Source organism: Homo sapiens, chromosome 19 (genome assembly GCF_000001405.40).
Source record: "Homo sapiens chromosome 19, GRCh38.p14 Primary Assembly".
NCBI lineage: Eukaryota > Metazoa > Chordata > Mammalia > Primates > Hominidae > Homo > Homo sapiens.
In genome coordinates this window covers 17,583,287-17,600,537 of record NC_000019.10, presented here as the reverse complement: position 1 = coordinate 17,600,537, position 17,251 = coordinate 17,583,287, and the positions used below count along the sequence as shown (strand labels likewise).

General features: G+C 47.6%; 1 pseudogene, besides 1 other annotated feature; it reads left to right on the top strand.

Moving 5' to 3' along the window:
- Positions 1,424–2,005: an enhancer, noted in NCBI's record as "NANOG-H3K27ac-H3K4me1 hESC enhancer chr19:17709342-17709923 (GRCh37/hg19 assembly coordinates)". NCBI's record gives its function as "activates a minimal SCP1, AML or CMV promoter by ChIP-STARR-seq in naive H9 embryonic stem cells {active_cell/tissue: H9 hESC(naive)}" and the evidence as "EXISTENCE:reporter gene assay evidence [ECO:0000049][PMID:30033119]".
- On the top strand, positions 10,429–10,968 carry RPL21P130 (ribosomal protein L21 pseudogene 130; annotated as a pseudogene).

The following is a 17,251-nucleotide window of genomic DNA, read 5'->3' as shown; positions in this document are numbered from 1 at the left end:
TGTGCACCACCACACCTGGCTAATTTGTGTATTTTTTGTAGTGATAGGATGTCGCCATGTTGCCCAGACTGCTCTCGAACTCCTCACTTTGGGCAATCCTCTCTCCTCAGCCCTCCAAAGTGTTGGGATTACAGGCGTGAGCCACTGTGCCTGGCCATGTCTGTTTTAAATGTAGCAGCTGGGGCCAGGCGCAGTGGCTCACGCCTGTAATCCCAGCACTTTAGGAGGCCGAGGCGGGTGGATCACGAGGTCAGGAGATCGAGACCATCCTGGCTAACACGGTGAAACCCCGTCTCTACTAAAAGTACCAAAAATTAGCCGGGCACGGTGGCAGGCACCTGTAGTTCCAGCTACTCGGGAGGCTGAGGCAGGAGAATGGTGTGAACTGGGGAGGCGGAGCTTGCAGTGAGCCAAGATCACGCCACTGCATTCCAGCCTGGGTGACGGAGCGAGACTCCATCTCAAAAAAAAAAAAAGAAAAAAAAGTAGCAGCTGGGAATCTCATTTCATAAACTCAGATGTGTGAGGAATGAAACTCCATTTTCCAACAGCTGAATTTAATTTCTGTTTTGAGTCTCCATCCCACGAGGAAGCAGAAATGGAATCTCATTCAGCCCAGTTTCCTCGGTAAATTCCGAAATTCCCCTCCTTATGTCTGGGGTTATTTCTACATTTGAGCGGACAGGACGGGAGCTGCGGGATCCACCACCAGGAGTGGGTTCAGTGAGTGCTTTTGGTTGCAAGTAACAGACAGCAGGACTAAAAGTGGGGCCAGAAAGTGGCTTACACCAGGAGTTATCCAGCACGCAGCAATCCCGCTCCTGGGGGACTTTTCTCCTTTGAGAAACTTGCACGTGGGGGTGTGGTATCTTCTCAAAGAATAGCATATAGCTGGGAAAAGGGGACAAACCGCAGCTGTCTGCATGATGTCTGCAGAGGCAGCCTGCAGGTCCTTGAGTGCCCCTGCTCATTAGCTGTTTCTGTACCCAAGTGCATAGGCTACGCACTGTGACTGATGTGGATCTATTTGCCCCTCGCTACAAAAGGGTCTCAAGTCTTGTCCTTCAGTGTGTGGGACCCATCGTGTTACCAATGGGGCTTGGGGACTGAGGCTCAAGACTGCTTGCTGGGAAATGTAACCCCTTTGTTCTGGACAGGTAGAAGGAGAGGAGAATGGTCATCCAGGCCTAATGTAAAGTTTCTGCAACCCAACCCAATTCCCAGACTCATTTTGGTCATGATCAATACAGGGGTCAACAAAATTTTCTGTAAAGGGCGAGCTAGTAAATAGATTTGCTGTGTGTACTATGCTGTCTCTGTTGCAACCAACTCGGCCATTGTAACCTTGACAACATGCAAATGATGGGCGTGACTGCATGCCAATAAAACTTTATTTAGAAAATCAAGCGGATATATTCAAACAAACCCTTGGACGTGTTCAGAATAGCGCTATTCACAATAGCCAAAAGGTGGAAACAACTCAAGTGTCCACCAACAAATGAATGGATAAACACAACATGTTGTCTATTCATACAATGAATATGATTCAGCCATAAAAAGGAAGGAAGTGGCCGGGCGCGGTGGCTCACGCCTGTAATCCTAGCACTTTGGGAGGCTGAGGCGAGTGGATCACCTGAGGTCAGGAGTTCAAGACCAGCCTGGCCAACATGGTGAAACCCTGTCTGTACTAAAAATACAAAATTAGCCGGGCATGGTGGCAAGTGCTTGTAATCCCGGCTACTCGGGAGGCTGAGGCTGGAGAATCATTTGAACCTGGGAGGCAGAGGTTACAGTGAGCCGAGATCCTGCCATTGCACTCCAGCCTGGGTGAGAAGAGTGAAACTCCATCTCAAAAAAAAAAAAAAAAAAAGGAAGGAAACCCCGTCTCTACTAAAAATACAAAAAATTAGCCGGGCATGGTGGTGGGCGCCTGTAGTCCCAGCTACTCGGGAGGCTGAGGCAGGAGAATGGCGTGAACCCAGGAGGCAGAGCTTGCAGAGAGCCGAGATCGCGCCACTGCACTGCAGCCTGGGCGACAGAGCAAGACTCCGTCTCAACAACAACAGCAATAATAGAAGCTGGCCCAAACCCACCAAAACCAAGATGGCGACAAGAGTGACCTCTGGTCATCCTCACTGCTACACTCCCCCCATCACCATGACAGTTTACAAATACCATGGCAACATCAGGAAGTTACCCTATTTGGTCTAAAAACGCAAGGCATGAATAATCTACCCTTCCTTTAGCATATCATCAAGAAATAACCATAACAATGGGCAACCAGCAGCCTTGGGGCTGCTCTGTCTATGGAGTAGCCATTCTTTTTTTTTTTTTTTTTTTTTGAGATGGAGTCTTGCTCTGTCACCCAGGCCGGAGTGCAGTGGCGCGGTTTCGGCTCACTGCAAGCTCCACCTCCCGGGTTTCATGGGCGTCCATGTGAAGAAAAAGGAGCATCTATACAGGAGCTCAAATGGGCTGTACCCTGTAGCATTCTGAGGACAGGTCTGACTTCTGAGAAGGGAAAGTGGTAAAAGTATTGTCCGTCCTTTTTAAGTTGGTGGCTGAGCTTGGTGAGGTGTGTTTTTAAAAGACCTTTAGTCCGTTCTACTTTTCCTGAAGATGGAGGACTGTAAGGGATATAAAGATTTCACTGAATACCAAGAGCCTGAAAAACTGCTTGGCTGATTTGACTAATAAAGGCTGGTCTGTTATCAGACTGTATAGAGGTGGGAAGGCTAAACTGAGGAATTATGTCTGACAGAGGGGAAGAAATGACAGCGGTGGCCTTCTCAGACCCTGTAGGAAAGGCCTCTACCTATCCAGTGAAAGTGTCTACCTAGACTAAGAGGTATTTTAGTTATCTGACTCGGGGCATGTTGAGTAAAGCTAATTTGCCAGTCCTGAGTGGGGCAAATCCTCGAGCTTGATGTGTAGGGAAGCGAGGGGGCCTGAATAATCCCTGAGGAGTAGTAGAATAGCAGATGGAACACTGAGAAGTGATTTCCTTGAGGACAGATTTCCACGATGGAAAGGAAATGAGAGATTCTAAGAGGCGGACTAGTGGCTTGTACTATAGCATAGCCTGCCTTTGCTGGTGTGTGGCGATTAGGCCTGGTGGAACTGCCATCAATAAATCAAGCGTGATCAGGGTGAGGAAAAGGAAAGAAGGAAATATCGGGAAATGGGGTGAATGTCAGGTGGATCAGAGAGATACAGTCATGGAGGTCAGGTGTGGTATCAGGAATAATGTGGGAGGCCAGATTGAAGTCCGGGCCAGGAACAATGGTAATTGTGGGACTTAACAAAGAGTGAGTACAGCTGAAGGAGCCGGGGAGCAGAAAGCATATGCGTCAGGTATGAGGAAGCAAATAGATTTTGGAAGTTATGAGAAATGTAGAGAGTGAGTTAAGTATAGTTTGTGATTTTTAGGGCCTCTAAATGTATTAAAGCAGTGGCAGCCGCTGCACGCAGACATGAGGGCTAGGCTAAAACAGTAAGGTCAAGTTGTTTGGACAGAAACGCTACAGGGTGCGGTCCTGGCTCTTGTGTAAGAATTCTGACTGCACTAACCATGCCTAGGAAGGAAAGTTGTTGTTTTGTAAGGGATTGAGGTTTGGGAGATTAATCAGACACGATCAGCAGGGAGAGCACGTGTGTTTTTATGAGAATTATGCCGAGATAGGTAACAGATGAGGATGAAATTTGGGCTTGATTGAAGTAATGGGGGCTGTCTGTGAAGCCTTGCGGCAGTACAGCCTAGGTAATTTGCTGAGCCTAATGGGTGTCAGGGTCAGTCCAAGTGAGAGCGAAGAGAGGCTGGGATTAAGGGTGCAAAGGAATAGTAAAGAAAGCATGTTTGAGATCCAGAACAGAATAATGGGTTGTAGAGGGAGGTATTGAGGATAGGAGAGTATATGGGTTTGGCACCACGGGGTGGATAGGCAAAACAATTTGGTTGATAAGGCGCAGATCCTGAACTAACCTGTAAGCATCGTCTGGTTTTAGGACAGGTAAAATGAGGGAATGGTAAGGAGGGTTTATAGGCTTTAAAAGGCCATGCTGTAACAGGAGAATGATAACAGGTTTTAATCCTTTCAAAGTGTGCTGTGGGATGGGATATTGGCATTGATCGGGGTAAGGGTGATTAGGTTTTAATGGGATGGTAAGGGGTGCATGATCGGTCGCTAAGGAGGGAGTAGAGGTGTCTTATACTTGTGGGTTAAGGTGGGGAGATACAAGGGGAGGATGTGAAGGAGGCTTTGAACTGGGGGAAAAGGTGGCAATGTGGTGTGGCTGTCACCTAGGAATAGTCAGGGAAGCAGATAATTTAGTTAAAGTGTCTCGGCCTAATAAGGGAACTGAGCAGGTGGGGATAACTAAAAAGGAGTGCATAAAAGAGTATTGTCTTAAGTTGGCACCAGAGTCGGGGAGTTTTAAGGGGTTTAGAAGCTTGGCCATCAATACCCACAACAGTTATGGAGGCAAGGGAAACAGGCCCTTGAAAAGAAGGTAATGTGGAGTGAGTAGCCTCCATATTGATTAAGAAGGGGATGGGCTTACCCTCCACAGTGAGAGTTACCTGAAGCTCGGTGTCCGTGATGGTCTAGGGGGCTTCCGAGGTGATCGGGCAGTGTCAGTCTTCAGCCACTAAGCCGAGAAGATCTGGGAAGGAGTCAGAGAGCCTTGGGCCAGAGTTCCAGGGGCTCTGGGAGTGACTGCCAGGTGAGTTGAACAGTCCGATTTTCAGTGGGGTCCCACACAGATGGGATACGGCTTAGGAGGAATCCTGGGCTGCGGGCATTCCTTGGCCCAGTGGCCAGATTTCCGGCACTTGTAGCAAGCTCCTGGTGGAGGAGGTTCTGGAGGAATCCCTGGCCACTGCGGTTCAGGCGTTTGGAGTTCTTTTGTGCTGGAGATGTGGCTGGGGTTTGTCTCACAGTGGAGGCAAGGAACTGCAGCTCAGAAATACATTGCTACTTGGCTGCCTCTACTTTATTATTGTACACCTTGAAGGTGAGGTTAATTAAGTCCTGTTGTGGGGTTTGAGGGCCGGAGTTTAATTTTTGGGGTTTTATTTAATGTCAGGAGTGGATTGGGTAATAAAATGTATATTGAGAATAAGACAGCCTTTTGACCTCTTAGGGTTTGGGGCTGTAAAGCGTCTCAGGGTTGCTGCCGAACGAGCCACGAACTGGGCTGGGTTTTTCATGTTTGATGAAAGAGTCTAAATGCTAACTGATTTGGGAGAGGTCGGATAAAGAAAAAGGAGCATTAACCTTGACTATGCCTTTAGCTTCAGCCACCTTTTTAAGAGGAAATTGCTGGGCAGGTGGGGGAGGGCTAGTCACGGAATGAAACTATAAACTGGACCGGGTGTGAGGAGGGGAGGTGATAAAAAGATTACAAGGTGGAGGAGCGGAGGCTGAGGAAGAATTGGGACCTAGCTCGGCCTGGTGAGCAGCAGCCTGGGGAGGAGGGGAGAGGTCAGATGGGTCTGTAGAAAAGGAAGATTAGAAAGACTCAGGGACGCTTGGGGATGGGACTGAGGGGACAGGAGAGACGGAAAGAAGGAAGACTTGGGACGAGTTGCACTGGGCACAGAGACTAGGGAGGGACCGATGTGTAAAAGAATGCCTGGACGTCAGGCACCTCAGACTGTTTGCCTATTTTACGACAAGAATTATTTAGATCTTGCAGGATGGAAAAATTGAAAGTGCCGTTTTCTGGCTATTTGGAACCACTGTTGAGTTTGTATTGGGGTCAAGCAGCATTGCAGAAGAAAACAAGGCATTTAGGTTTTAGGTCAGGTGTGAGTCAAAGAGGTTTTAAGTTCTTGAGAGCACAGGCTAAGGGAGATGGAGGAGTGGAGCATGGAAGGTTGCCTATAGTGAAGGAGGCAAGCCCAGAGAAAAGAGAGAGTAGAGACACAGAGGGAAGGGGTTTGGGGGTTCTTACCTTCCAGAAAAGCCAGAAAGGGGTCAGGGTGCAAAAATAAGGGGTTGGGGCACAGAGATAAGAGGTCAGGGCACGGAAATAAGGGATGGGGCGCAGAGATAAGAGGTCGGGGCATGGAAATAAGGGATCGAGGCACAGAGATAAGAGGTTGGGGCATGGAAATAAGGGATTGGGGATTCTTGCCCCTTAGAAAAGCGGGACTTGCCGCTAAGGGTGAAGGACCAAGGCAAGCATCCCTGCATGGTCTGACACCTCTGAAATGTGGGTGAATAATCAGAGAGGCGTTCTTGCAATGATTAAACACCAAGGGAAGGCTGCCTTCCTAGTCCGTGACCGGTGCCAGAGTTTTGGGTCCACAGATAAAACATGTCTCCTTTGTCTTTACCAGAAAATGAAAGGAATTGAAATTAAGAGAAGGGAGAGATTGAAGTGTGGCGCCAATATTGAAAGGAGAAAGAGGTTGAGGGATAGTGAGGGAGGTTGGAGAAGAGAGTGAAAATAGGCCGCTTACTGGATTTGAAATTGGTGAGATGTTTCTTGGGCTGGTCGGTCTGAGGACCCGAGGTCGTAGGTGGATCTTTCTTATGGAACAAAGAACAGGAGGACAGGGGATTGATCTCCCAAGGAAGGTCCCCCGATCTGAGTCACGGCACCAAATTTCATGCGTGTCTGTGTGAAGAGACCACCAAACAGGCTTTGTGTGAGCAATAAAGCTTTTAATCACCTGGGTGCAGGTGGGCTGAGTCTGAAAAGAGAGTCCTTGAAGGGAGATAAGGGTGGGGCCATTTTATAGGATTTGGGTAGATAAAGGAAAATTACAGTCAAAGGGGGGTTGTTCTCTGGCGGGCAGAGTGGGGGTCACAAGGTGCTCAGTAGGGGAGCTTTTGAGCCAGGATGAGCCAGGAGAAGGAATTTCACAAGACAATGTCATCAGTTAAGGCAGGAACCGGCCATCTGGATGTGTACATGCAGGTCACAGGGGATATGATGGCTTAGCTTGGGCTCAGAGGCCTGACACTGGGTTCATGCCATTCTCCTGCCTCAGCCTCCCGAGTAGCTGGGACTACAGGCGCTCACCACCATGCCCAGCTAATTTTTTGTATTTTCAGTAGAGACAGGGTTTCACCGTGTTAGCCAGGATGGTCTCAGTCTCCTGACCTCGTGATCCACCCACCTTGGCTTCCCAAAGTGCTAGGATTATAGGCGTGAGCCACTGTGTCTGGCCTGGAGTAGCCATTCTTTATTCCTTTACTTTCCTAATAAACTTGCTTTCACTTACTCTATGGACTCACCCTGACTTCTTTCTTTTTTTTTTTTTTTTTTTTTTGAGACAGAGTCTGGCTCTGTTGCCCAGGCTGGAGCTCAGTGGCGCAATCTCGGCTCACTGCAAGCTCTGCCTCCTGGGTTCATGCCATTCTCCTGCCTCAGCCTCCCGAGTAGCTGGGACTACAGGTGCCCGCCACTACACCCGGCTAATTTTTTTGTATTTTTAGCAGAGACGGGGTTTCACTGCGTTAGCCAGGATGGTCTCAATCTCCTGACCTCGTGATCCGCCCACCTCAGCCTCCCAAAGTGCTGGGATTACAGGCGTGAGCCACCGCGCCCGGCCTCCCTGACTTCTTTCTTGCACAAGATCCAAGAACCCTCTCTTGGGGTCTTGATCAGGACCCCTTTCCGGGAACACATAGAGACAGGAAGCAGATTGGTGGTGCCAGGGGCTGGGGGAGAGGGAGTGGAGAGTGACTGCTGATAGAAACGAGATCTCCTTTTAGGGGGATGAAAATGTTCTGGAAATTGATAAAGGTGATGGTCGTGTGACATTGCAAATGTGCTAAATTCCACCAAATTGGACATTTTAATCTGGTTAATTTTATGTTGTCTGATTCTTACCTCAATTTAAAAATTTTTTTTTCCAGATTCCGTGTTCAGCCAAATAATTTTTGGGGTTTTGTTTGTTTGTTTTATTTGTTTGCTTGTTTTAAGAGGGAGACTCGCTCTATCGCCCAGGCTGGAGCACAGTGGCACGATCTCCGCTCACCACAACCTCTGCCTCCTGGGTTCAAGTGATTCTCCTGCCTCACCCTCCTGAGTACCTGTGATTACAGGTGTGTGCCACCACGCCCGACTAATTTTTGTATTTTTATTAGAGGCAGGGTTGCACCATGTTGGTCAGGCTGGTCTCGAACTCCTGACCTCAGGTGAGTCCCAAAGTGCTGGGATTACAGGCATGAGCCACGGTGCCCAGCCCTGCCAAATTTTTTTTAAAACAAGTCAGATTTGAGGCCAGGAGTGGTGGCTCACGCCCGTAATCCCAGCACTTTAAGAGGCCGGGGCGGGTGGATCACCTGAGGTCAGGAGTTCGAGACCAGCCTGGACAACATGGTGAAACCCCATCTTTACTAAAAATACAAAAATTAGCCGGGCATGGTGGCACACACCTGTAATCCCAGCTACTCCAGAGGCTAGGCAGGAGAATCGCTTGAATGCGGGAGGCAGAGGTTGCAGTGAGCCAAGATCGCGCCATTGCACTCCAGCCTGGGCGACAAGAGTGAAACTCCGTTTCAAAAAAAAAAAAAAGTCAGATGTCAGATTTGGCCCTCATCCAGTTTGCTAATCCCTAACCTGACCTCATTGTTCTTCAACTTATTCGCCTGCATCTCCTCACTTCTCTCAACCTCAGACTAAACTCTCACACTATTCTCACGCCCATCACTATCCTTCCACTGTCACCTGAAACACCCCCACCCCAATCACTGTCCCTCTCATCCTAACCCCATTTGGCTCTTGCCTTCTTCTCCCACCACCAGCCATCCTGGCAGAACCACCCGGGAACTTCAAAAAGAGGCATATTCCATTTCCTGGAGGGCATAACACAATTATGTCGTTGATGATCTGTCTGAGATTACATTTCATTATATAATTGATTATATTGCATGATAATTACTCTGCTCCAAATCCTGCAATTACATGTAATAGTGACGATGATTATGCATCCTACAGTTACACCGTCGTCCCTATCATCATTGTAACCTACGCTAATAAGCCATCCATGGCAGGTTGACATCAGCATCCGCCCCTGTCCCACCCCATTCCAAAGCCCCAGCTACACAGGCAGATCTCCCTGTGGCTGGGCAGACTCAGGGTGTCTGCCCAAGTTCACCTGCCAGATGCACCTCTGGGAGTCTGGAAAACAAAAGGGACTTGAGTCGTCTTGGTTTTCCTTCCCCTTCACTCTGCCAGCAGCCAGATGTGGAAACAGTTGAGGTTTTAGCATTCCTCTGTTCAGTGACAACCTCGGGGCGCTTTGGAAAGCCACTTCTTCAAGGTCATCTCTGTAGGACCAGACTCAGTCCTGATCCTTTGTACCCAGAGATGGCAAACTTCAGCCCCCAGGCCAAATCTGACTCCACACTGGTTTTTGCAAATAAAGTTTTATTGGCACACAGCCAAGCTCATTCATTTATGTATTGCCTGTGGTTGTTTTTCAGGCTGCAATGGCAGCATGGAGTCATTGTCAATTTCCTATATGAAACCCCTTTCTGTTAAAAGACCTCAAGTGATTTCTGTTTTCCCACCTTGATCCATGACTGATACACTGTACTATGATACATAACTATGTATCATATGACTGACACATCCATAGAGCAAGACACAATCTCAGCCTCTCCAAAGGATACTGTAGCAATAGGCTAAATAATGTCCCCCGAGAGATATCCACATCTATTGCTCAGAACCTGTGGATGTTACTTTATTTATTTGAGACGGAGTTTCACTCTTGTTGCCCAGGCTGGAGTGCAGTGGCGCGATCTCAGCTTACTGCAACCTCCACTTCCTGGGTGCAAGCGATTCTCCTGCCTCGGCCTCCTAAGTAGCTGGGATTATAGGCGCCTGCCACCATACCCAGCTAATTTTTATATTTTTAGTAGAGATGGTGTTTTACCATGTTGGCCAGGCTGGTCTTGAACTCCTGACCTCAGGTGTTCCACCCACCTCAGCCTCCCAAAGTGCTGGGATTACAGGCATGAGCTACTGCACCTGGCCCTATGGATGTTACTTTAAATGGCAAAAGGAATTTTGTAGATGCAGATGTGATTTTTCTTTTCTTTTCTTTTCTTTTTTTTTTTTTTTGGCAAGATCTTGCCCTGCTGCCCAGGCTGGAGTGCAGAGGTGCAATCATAGCTCACTGCAGCCTCAAACTCCTGGGCTCAAGCAATCCTACTGCACACCACAGCCTCTTTCACAGCTGGGACTACAGGCACGTGCCACCATGCCCAGCCCTGCAGATATGATTAAGTCAAGGATTTTGAGATTATGGCAAGATTATCCTGGATCATCTGAATGGGCTCTAAATGTAATCACAAATGTCCTTAGAAGAGGGAGACAAGAGGTTAGGTGAATACATAGCATTGAAAGGATTGGAGTGACTTGGAGTGACACAAGAAGGGACCACAAGCAAAGGATACCAGTGGGGCTTTTCGGCCAGAACCGCCATCTTCCAGTAATTTGCCAAGATGACAAACACAAAGGAAAAGAGGAGAGGCACCCGATATATGTTCTCTAGGCTTTTTTAGAAAACATGAAGTTGTTCCTTTGGCCACGTATATGTGAATCTATAAGAAAGGTGATATTGTAGACATCAAGAGAAGGTACTGTTCAAAAAGAAATGCTCCACAAGTGTTAACATGGCAAAACTGGAAGAATCTACAGTGTTCCCCAGCATGCTGTTGGCATTGTTGTAAACAAACGAGGGCAAGATCCTTGCCAAGAGAATTGATGTGTGTATTGAGCATATTAAGCACTCTAAGAACTGAGATAGCTTCCTGAAATGCATGAAGGAAAATGATCAGAAAAAGAAAGAAGCCAAAGAGAAAGGTGCCTGGGTTCAACTGAAGCGCCAGCCTGCTCCACCCAGAGAAGCACACTGTGTGAAAACCAGTGGGAAGGAGCCTTAGCTGCTGGAACCTCTTCCCTATGAATTCATGACATAATAGGTGTTAACAAAAAAATAAAAGGCCAGGCAGGGTGGCTCACATCTGTAAGCCCAGCACTTTGGGAGGCCGAGGCAGGCAGATCACAAGGTCAGGAGGTTGAGACCAGCCTGACCAATATGGTGACACCCCGTCTCTACTAAAAGTACAGAAATGAGCCGGGCATGGTGGCAGGTGCCTGTAGTCTCAGCTACTCGGGAGGCTGAGGCAGAAGCATTGCTTGAACCCGGGAGGCGGAGGTTGTAGTGAGCCGAGATCACGTCACTGCACTCCAGCCTGGGCGACACAGCGAGACTCCGTCTCAAAAAAATAAAATAAAATAAAATAAAATGCCTCTGGAGTATGAAAATGTTTCTCTTCATTGAGCAGAAGTGTGGTGTTCTCTCCACCAAAGAAATATTTAAAGCAAATTTTAATTATGTCCTAATTCATTGTGTAATGTCTTCACTATTCAAATTTAATGTATTTCTTGCTGAAAGACTTGAGGTAGCTTATTATGCAACAAATTACTCAATTGGTTAGAAATTGGCCAGGTATTATCTATGAAATATTTGTACTGGTTTGAAGATAGTCCCTCTAAGTCATCAATGAAAAAATAAAATAATTTACAAAAATAAATGGAATGTAATCTACTCCATTACAGTTAAGCTCAGGATCCAGAGTTTGCTTTTGAATTCTAAAAAAAAAAATTGTTTAAAGCATAAAAAAAAAGATGCCAGTGGGGATGGGGCATGGTGGTTCATGCCTGTAATCCCAGCACTTTGGGAGGCCAAGGCAGGAAAATCACCTGAAGTCAGGCGTTCAAGACCGGCCTGGCCAAAATGGTGAAACCCCCTCCCTATCAAAAATACAAAAATTAGCTGGGCATGGTGGTGGGCGCCTGTAATCCCAGCTACTCGGGAGGCTGAGGCATGACAATCACTTGAACCTGGGAAGCAGAGGTTGCTGTGAGCTGAGATCGTGCCACTGCACTCCAGCCAGGGTGACAGAGCTGGACTTAGTCTCAAAAAAATTAAAAAAAAACAAAAAAGATGCCAGTGGGTTTCAGAAGCCAGAAAAGACAAAGAGAAGGATTCCCCCCTAGATCCTCCAGAAGAAACCAACCCTGCTGACTTGAATTTATTTTTACTTATTTATTTATTTTTAGAGATGGGGGTCTCACTATGTTACCCAGGCTGATCTTGAACTCCTGGGCTCAAACGATTCTCCTGCCTCGGCCTCCCGAGTAGCTGGGATTACAGGGTAGCTGGGATTACAGGTGTGTGCCACTGCACCCAGCTTGATTTTTTTTTTTTTTTTTTTTTGAGACAGAGTCTTGCTCTGTTGCCCAGGCTGGAGTGCAATGGCCCCTATCTCAGCTCACTGCCACCTCCGCCTCCCGGGTTCTCCTCAATTCTCCTGCCTCAGCCTCCCAAGTAGCTGGGACTACAGGTGTGTGCCACCATGCCCAGCTAATTTTTGTATTTTTAGTAGAGATGGGATTTCCCCATATTGGCCAGGCTGGTCTCGAACTGCTGACCTCAAGTGACCCACCCACCTCAGCCTTCCAAAGTGCTGGGATTATAGGCGTGAGCAACCGCACCCAGCCTCAGCTTGATTTGACATTAGCCCAGTGAAACTGATTTCAGAATTCTGGCCTTCAAAACCATACAAGAATACATTGATGTTGTTTTAAGCGACTAAGTTTGTGGAAATGTGTTAGAGTAGCAATAGGGAACTAATAGCCAATAGACCAACTGAAGGGTGTCCCCATGAATAAGAATCACTTTACAATTAAAAATAGCATTCATAAAATAAAGGTGCCAGGTGCAGTGGCTCATGCCTGTAATTCCAGCATTTTGATAAGCTGAGCGGGGAGGATTGCTGCAGCCCAGGAGCTCGAGACCAGGATGGGCAACATAGCAAGACCGTCATCTCTACAAAAAATAAAAAATTAGCTGGGCATAGTGGCTCATGTCTGTAGTCCTGGCTACTTAGGAGGCTGAGGTGGGAAGATCACTTAAGCCTGGGAGCTTGAGGCTGCAGTGAACCATGATTGCACCATTGGACTCCAGCCTAGGCAACAGAACGAGACCCTGTCTCAGAAAATAGTAATAATAAAATTTTTACAAAGACAAGAAAAGTATACATTGTGTGTGTGTGTATTTAGAAAGTTCCAGAAGGAAGGATGAGGTTCTCCTGAAGGTGCAGAGGTCAAAAGCAACACCAGAGTTACATAACTGTTTGGGGGCCTTCAAAATAAAATTTAATTCCCAGGCATCACCTCCAAGTTCTTTTTTTTTTTTTTTTAGATGGAGTTTTGCGCCCAGGCTGGAGTGCAATGGCACGATCTCGGCTCACTGCAACCTCTGCCTCCCCAGTTCAAGCGATTCTCCTGTCTCGGCCTCCTAAGTAGCTGGGATTACAGGCATGCGTCACCACGCCCAGCTAATTTTTTTGTATTTTTAGTAGAGACAGGGTTTTGCCATGTTGGTCAGGCTGGTCTCGAACTCCTGACCTCAGGTGATCCTCCCGCCTCGGCCTCCCAAATTGCTGGGATTACAGGTGTGAGCCACTGCACCCAGCTACCTCCAAGTTCTAATCCTTTAGTCTGTGAGCAGAGCCTGCGAATCTATGCTTTATTCAGATAAATTTCATAGTAAAGGAAGCTTCACTTCGTACCACAGAGAAGATCCTTCTAAAGACTCATGTCCCCAAGAGGCTGAAAGGAATTGGGTACAGGGATTCTTTTTTTATTTTTATTTTTTCGAGACAGGGTCTCGCTCTGTAGCCCAGGCTGGAGTGCAGTGGTACAATCACTGCTCACTGTAGCCTCAACCTCGTAGGCTCCAGCAATCCTCCCATTTCAGCCTCCCGAGGCTGGGGGGCACAGACACGTGACAACACACATGGCTAAGTGTTTCTATTTTTTTGTAGAGACAGGGTTTTGCCCAGGCTGGTCTCAAACTCCTAGGGTCAAGTGATCTGCCTGCCTCAACCTCCCAAAGTGCTGGGATTACAAGCACGAGCCACCATACCTGGCCGGGTACAGGAATTCTTAGTCTCAGCACTATGAACATTCTGGACTGGAACGTTCTGTATGGTGGGGCGTCCTGGCCATTGTAGGATATTTAGCTGCATCCTCCTGCATAGGATGTACAATGTAGGATGGTGTTAGCATTGTAGGATGTTTAGGGGACATTGCCAAATGTCCCCTGAAGAACAAAATTACTCCTGGTTGAGCCTCACTGGGTTAAATAAGATTTAGAAACTTCCCTGCAAAGCATGAGAAAAAAATCTTTCACAGAAGGGGCTGGGTGCGGTGGCTCATGCCTGTAATCCCAGCACTTTGGGAGGCCGAAGCGGGAGGACCACCTGAGGTCAGAAGTTTGAGACCAGCCTGGCCAACATGGTGAAACCCTGTTTCTACTAAAAGTACAAAAACTAGCCGGGCATTGTGGCAGGCGTCTGTAATCCCAGCTACTAGGGAGGCTGAGGCAGGAAAATTGTTTGAACCCAGGGTGGGGGCGGAGGTTGCAGTGAGCCAAGATCATGCCACTACACTCCAGCCTGGGCGACAGAGTGAGACTCTGCCTCAAAGAAAAAAAAATGTTTCACAGAAGGGACTGTTTAATAAACATGGATAATTCACTCTGGCCAATAGATGATGAATAGTTAGGATTCAATAAGAAAAAGGAATATGATAGCCTCTACTGAAACCTGAAGTGCACATCCAGGTTAATCCAGGAATCCCACCTGTCTCAATTTACCCAACTGAAATTTTAAAATCCAGTAGGAAGCCAGGTGCAGTGGCTCACGCCTGCAATCCCAGCACTTTGGGAGCCAAGGCGGGTGGATCACTTGTAGTCAGGAGTTCAAGACCAGCCTGGCCAACATGGTGAAACCCCATCTCTACTAAAAATACAAAAATTCTCCAGGTGTGGTGCGGGCGCCTGTAATCTATTACTCAGGAGGCTGAGGCAGGAGAATTGCTTGAACCCAGGAGGCGGAGGTTGCAGTGAGTCAAGATCGTATCACTGCTCTCCAGCCTGGGTGACAGAGTGTGACTCCGTCTCAAAAAGCAAAACAAAACAAACAAAAAAACACAAAAAAACAAAAAATCCAGTAGGAAAGATGTATTGTATAATGCTATCCACTGCAGGAAACAGCAGGGAATATTTTCCATAACAATCCAAAAAGAGCTCGTAGATGTTAACCCTATTTTGGAAAGGAGGTCCACAATAGTTGTTAAATTTAAAAATAAAAGTTGTTTTTTAAAAAATAGGTACAGTTTGATCCCATGCTTAGAAAATAAAAGTGCATTCCACGAAAAATAAAACGGCAAGTTGCAGTAGCTTAGGTAACATGGTCCTCCTTTTTTAAAAAATGCATATATATTTACACCATGCAAATAAGGAAGGCTGGAAAGTTTTTGAAAATGTTAGTTGTGTCTGAAAAGGTGTGATTTAATTTTTGCTTTGTCAATTTGCTTAGCTGTAAGTTCTGATTTTTTCCACACTGATTGAACACCATCAGTGTTAGGGTTTTTTGTTGTTGTTTGTTTTTTGTTTTTTGAGACAAGAGTGTTGCTCTGTCGCCCAGGCTGGAGTGCAGTGGCGTGATCTCGGCTCACTACAACCTCCGCCTCCCAGGTTCAAGTGATTCTTCTGCCTCAGCCTCCAAGTAGCTGGGACTACAGGCGCTCACCACCATGCCCAGCTAATTTTTCTGTATTTTTAGTAGAGACGGGGTTTCACCATATTGGCCAGGCTGGTCTCGAACTCCTGACCTCATGATCCACCAGCCTCGGCCTCCCAAAGTGCTGGGATTACAGGTGTGAGCCACCGCGCCTGGCCCCTGTGTTAGTTTATAAAAGTCTCGGGTATATTCTTGCACACCCTAAAGGTGTAATAATCCAGAGGATTTGTAAGCATTTGACCCAGAAAATCCAAATGCAACTGGGCATGTTGTAATGTCCAGCCCCCTCTCCCTGGGGTGGGACCACTCTTTCCCTTCTTGTCTCACTTCCCTACTGCTCCACAGCAAGTTCCTGGGGTCACTGATAACGTAAGTGCCCTTCAATCCTCATCTTGGAGTCTGTTTCAGGGGACCCAAACCATGACAGCCCCTCCTCATTTGAAGTCATCTGCGACGATCCTGTGGTTGATCCAAGATAGAATGAAGTTGGCCACCTGTCCCTGGGCTATTTCAGGGAAGTTTTCTGGTTTTGTTTTATAGAAACAGGGTCTTGCTCTGTTGCCCAGGCTGGAGTGCAGTGGTGTGATCATGGTTCACTGCAGCCTCAACCTCCTAGACTCAAGAGATACTCCTGCTTCAGCCTCCTGAGTAGCCAGATTACAGGTGTGCCCTACCATGCCCAACTAATTTCTCAATTTTTTTTGTAGAGACGAGGGTCTCACTCTGTTGCCCAAGCTGGTCTTGAGCTCCTGACCTCAAGCAATCCTCTCACCTCCTCAACCTCCCAAAGCATTGGGATTATAGGAGTGAGCCACCTCACCCAGCCTAATCCTTTTTTTTTTTTGAGATGGAGTCTCATTCTGTTGCCCAGGCTGGAGTGCAGTGGCAAGATTTCAGCTCACTGCAACCTCCACCTCCTGCGTTCAAGCGATTCTCCTGCCTCAGCCTCCCAAGTAGCTGGGACTACTGTCACACACCACCATGCCTGGCTGCTTTTTGCATTTTTAGTAGAGACGGGATTTCATCTTATTGATCAGGCTGGTCTCGAACTCCTGACCTCAGGTGATCCACCCACCTTGGCCTCCCAAAGTGCTGGGATTACAGGCGTGAACCACCATGCCCAGCCCTAATCCTCATGTTGAGGTCTGTTTTAGGGGGACTCAAAGCACGACAGCCCCTCTTTATTCGAAGTCATGTGGAAGGATCCTGAAGTTGACTCAAGACAGAGCTGTCGGTCCCCCGCCTGTTTGGGGGAAGTTTTATGGCATGAGGGGACACAGGGCTCTTACCACACCCTCACCCCACAGTAGCTCCACTGGCCAGCTTTTTTTTTTTTTTTTTGGTTTGATTGTGTCTTGCTCTGCCGCCCAGGCTGGAGGGCAGTGGCTCAATCTTGGGTCACTGCAACCTCCACCTCCCAGGTTCAAGCGATTCTCCTGCCTCAGCCTCCCAAGTAGCGAGGATTACAGGTACCCCCCCCCCGCCACCCCGCCCCACTACACTAGGCTAATTTTTGTACTTTTAATAGAGAGGGGGTTTCACCATGTTGGCCAGGCTGGTCTTGAATTCCTGACCTCAAGTGATCCGCCCACCTTAGCCTCCCAAAGCACCGGGATTACAGGCATGAGCCA